Genomic DNA, 4,478 nt, shown 5'->3' with positions numbered 1-4,478 from the left:
TATACATGGACATAAAGATGGGAACAATACACACTGAGTACTACTAGATGGAGAAGGGGCAAGAGGGGCATGGGCTGAAAAACCACCTATTGGGGACTGTGCTTACTATCTGCGTGACAGGATCAATTGTACCTCAAACCTCAGCTGTACACAATATACTCATGTAACAAACCTGCACATATACCCTTTAATATGTAATAAAAGTGGAAATTATTTAAAAATAATGTTGAAGATAAAAGGTTTAAAAAATGATAAGGAGAATGAGAGGCATGATGAAGTTACTAGGGTAGTGGTTATCAAACTTTACTGCAACTTAGAATCACTTAGGGGAATCTTAAAAATCTCAATGCCCAGGATGAATCCTAGATCCATTGTACCAGAATGTCTGGGGTGCGACTGAGCCATTTGTACTTTTAAATCTCCCCAGGTGATTCCAATGTAAGGCCAATACTGAGAATCGCATGATAGTGCAATAGGTGAGCAATACTGAGAGGGTGTAAAAGTGGCCAGACTATCACTAAAAGAGCAATTGTATTTTGAATATAGTTGAGATATGGTTGTTTTCTCTGTGAAGCCTGAAAATGCGTCTCTTGAGCTGGTTTCTTGTGCTTCCTCAGTCAGTCAGGGATCCTTGTAATAATAAAGTAACAATAAATTCTGAGGGAACTTGAGCTTGCATACAATCTTCCCAAACTGCAAGGATTTAAATAATTCCTTTTCATCCATATCCAATTACCATATCATTAAATTAAATAATTAAAGGCCAAATAAGAGAAACAGGAGCACTTTACCACTATGGAATACAGTGCAACTTTTCCAAAAGTAAAATGATGGCAGAAAAGATTGAGAAAATACTGTTCTTAAAAGTGTTAATAGGTGCTTGCATAGAAATGAAATAAGATTTAAGTGCTAAATAAAACCATGCAAGGTATACTTTCCAGTAAAAAGAAACCTCACATGTGCATTTCCAAAATAAAGTAAGAAGTCTATGTGACACAGAAGGAGTCTTATGACTCAGAACTTAAACAAAGATGTGAGAAACTGAAAATATTAAAAATTATTCTAAACTTTAATAAATACACTACTATACTGAGTTTACATTGAGGAATTACATGATGCCCGATGTGGTTAAAAAAAGAATCTCCCTTCTAGTATTTGAATACCAGATGTAAATTTGTGTGCACCTAAATCCATTCATTCTGCTACATGCAGATGGAAGTCATACTTTTGTATTATAATTAAATATAGAGTGTGTAACTATTCTTTGTGTGCTCAACATTAATGGAAAGAGTATGACTTAAGTGCATATTTATTTTTGTAATACATGTGGACCTTAGGACTGGAGTTGTATGTTGACATCATAAATGAAAATTTTTAAAGTTTTATTAATGTTTTTTCAACCTGTTTCTTATTTTCCCAAGATATTATGCTGCCACTTGAATAAACCAGTCAAATTTTCAACTTACTTAAAGGGAAATATATTAAGGGCATATCAACATTGAGAAAAAAATTATATTTATTGCTCAAAATATACCAATAGTGACTGCTGAAATTCAAAGCAGAAATCTTAACACAAGTGCATTTCTTTCGGTTTTGCTTTTAACCGCATTATAGTTTTGTACCATTTTTATATTTGTTTTCTTCTTCACTCTTAATATTGTGAGAAAAGGATGAAGTGTTCCAGAAATGTTTAAAATGTTAGTGACACACATTATGTTCTCCTACTGATTTTGGTCTTAGTTTTTAGATTAGCTATAAAGTAGCATAAATAAAAGTGCTTAAAAAAACAAAGCTGTGTAGTGGTAGTGTGATCACCAACAATGTTAGCAGTGCTACTTTTTTTAACTTTATTGCATCTTACTGCAAGTCTATATGCCATATAACTTTTTTTCTGGAATGCTTTTCAGAGTATATTTGATATGTGGCAAAAATTTTATTCTACTTCTTTAAAATAAAACATTTTTAAGTAGCAAGAACTCCAGCTCTTTGGACCATAATAATATTTCACTTACCTAACCTCCAAAAAACAGTAAGTAAATAATTAAAAGCAGCCAGGACGTAGAGAAAACCCAAAGTAGAATAAAAACACTAACAAATAAATCAAACTGAATTAAGAAAATGAATAACATAACTACAACGAAGGGGATGGATGAAGACTAGAAATAACCTAAGTAATTGGAAAACAATATCCTGACTGGATGTTCTAAGGGTAGGGAATAAAAGAACTCTACATATGTGATGCACTATGGTTGGTGAATGTGCTTTGTGTGGAGTTATTTTTTAGCAACTTTGAAACTACTTTTCATGTATACTAGCACTGAAGCTACTAAATATATTGTAGATAACAAATAAGCAATTAAATATATAGTAGATAATAAAAGCCAGGTTTCCCATTGTTAGTGAAATAACTTAAAAATAAGTACGAAGACTAAAATTGACCCAGAATGAACTTTGTTGTGCTAGATTCAGTATAAACTCATGGCAGAAATACAGATATGTTTCTATATATATATGCTTAGGTTTAATTTACATATATATATTTCCTAGCCCTGTCCACTGAAAGACACCGTAAAGCAATGATGCCCTAATAGCAATGAGAATGCCTAGAGTATAAATTTAAGATCATTCTTCAGTAAAAGAAACAGGGCTTTTTAGAGAAATGGTTGATTTCATGGTTGGAGCGGGGAAAATACAACATTGTCCTGGAATATCTTGTGGGATCAGAATATGAACATGCTTGGCTTAGGAAAAGATGGGAGCCTGTTGAAAGAAGACATGAGCCAACAGGAAAGAGCTCTTATTGGCCAAAGATGAAACTATTTGAGCAAGAAATAATGGTAATATTGGATTGTAACTTCAAAAATACATGTCCACAAGTCAATAATGTTGTAAATAACCACAACAAAGGGATATATAGTATATTTACAGTGGAGAAATCCAGCAGATACCACCTTAACTATGCTCTGAAAGTCACTGTCACCAACAATAAGATATACTGGTACTACTAACAATATCAAATAATGTATTAATAAAAAAAGCATAGGCCAGGTGCGGTGGCTTACCCTTGTAATCCCAGCACTTTGGGAGGCCAAGGCAGGTGGATCACGAGGTCAGGAGATCGAGACCATCCTGGCTAACAAGGTGAAACCCAGTCTCTACTAAAAATACAAAAATTAGCCAGGCATGGTGGCGGGCACCTGTAGTCCCAGCTACTCAAGAGGCTGAGGAAGGAGAATGGCTTGAACCCGGGAGGCGGAGCTTGCAGTGAGCCGAGATTGCGCCACTGCACTCCAGCCTGAGCAAGAGTGAGACTCCGTCTAAAAAAAAAAAAAAAAAAAGCACAGCATAGTTTCTATGGTAATCTTTACATAACCTCAAATCATTCATAATAGAGTATCAAATGAACCCAAATTAGGAGAAATTCATCAAAATGGCTGATCTAAGCCCTTTAAAAGTGTCAGACTCCCAAAAAAAAAAAAAAACAAAGAGATAGACTGAGAGTCAGTTATAAATTTCAAAAGACTAAAGAGAAATAACAATTCAATACAATGTGGGATCCCAAGACAGGATCCTGAAACAGAGAGGACATTAATGGGTAAAAGGGAATTGGAATTAAGCTTTCTGTTTAGCTTAATAGAGTTTAGCAAATGTTATTTAAGATGTTAACATTTGCAAAAATTAAGTGAGATTATATGGACACTTTCTCTAATAATTTGCAACTTTTCTATAAGTCTAAAATTACTTCAAATTTAAACGTTAAATAAAGAGACTGAAGGCCAAGATATTCCCTTGTAAAATAATGTGTTTTACATTTCCATCATGTTTAATGGTGAATTTAATATGTATTACAGAATAATTTTAATTTAATGACTTATTTTAATAATAGTGAGAATAATAAGCTATTAGAAAACAATAAATGTAAATTATTCCATATGAAATAGCTAAGTAAATTCCAGATGGATTAAATAGTTTAATGCTAATAAAAATTATATTAAACATTTATTTTAAAAAATCAGCTGTCAAGAGGATGACTTTCTAAGTGTAAAGGTAGACGGAATAAAAAAAAAATAAGATCAAAGCTCTCCAGGGTATATTTGTTTACATAATTAAAAAGCAACTGTTGAACTATGTATAGTATTATCTCATTTTGTTTTTTTAAAAAAGTTGTTTAATGCATTTAAGAAAAAGTACTGGAAGGTTCTTATGAGACAAGTAGCAATGTGTCAATAAGGCCTGCGTCAGTTTCTATTCGCTGGATGTTTTAACCAGGAAAATATATGCATAGGAGTGAAAAAGAGTAGCATCAATAGATTTAATAATACAAATAATTTAAATGTTGAAAATACATGTATAGAAGTGAAAAAGAGTAGCATCAATAGATTTAATACAACAAATATTTTAAATGTTAAACTCAAGTTCAGCATGGTTACTTAAATTTTAGTGCTGATTTACCAATGACGCAGTCCATAAGACTACAA

The sequence above is a fragment of the Homo sapiens genome, chromosome 6 (assembly GCF_000001405.40).
Source record: "Homo sapiens chromosome 6, GRCh38.p14 Primary Assembly".
Classification (NCBI taxonomy): Eukaryota; Metazoa; Chordata; class Mammalia; order Primates; family Hominidae; genus Homo; species Homo sapiens.
Note: the sequence above shows the minus strand (reverse complement) of the source record.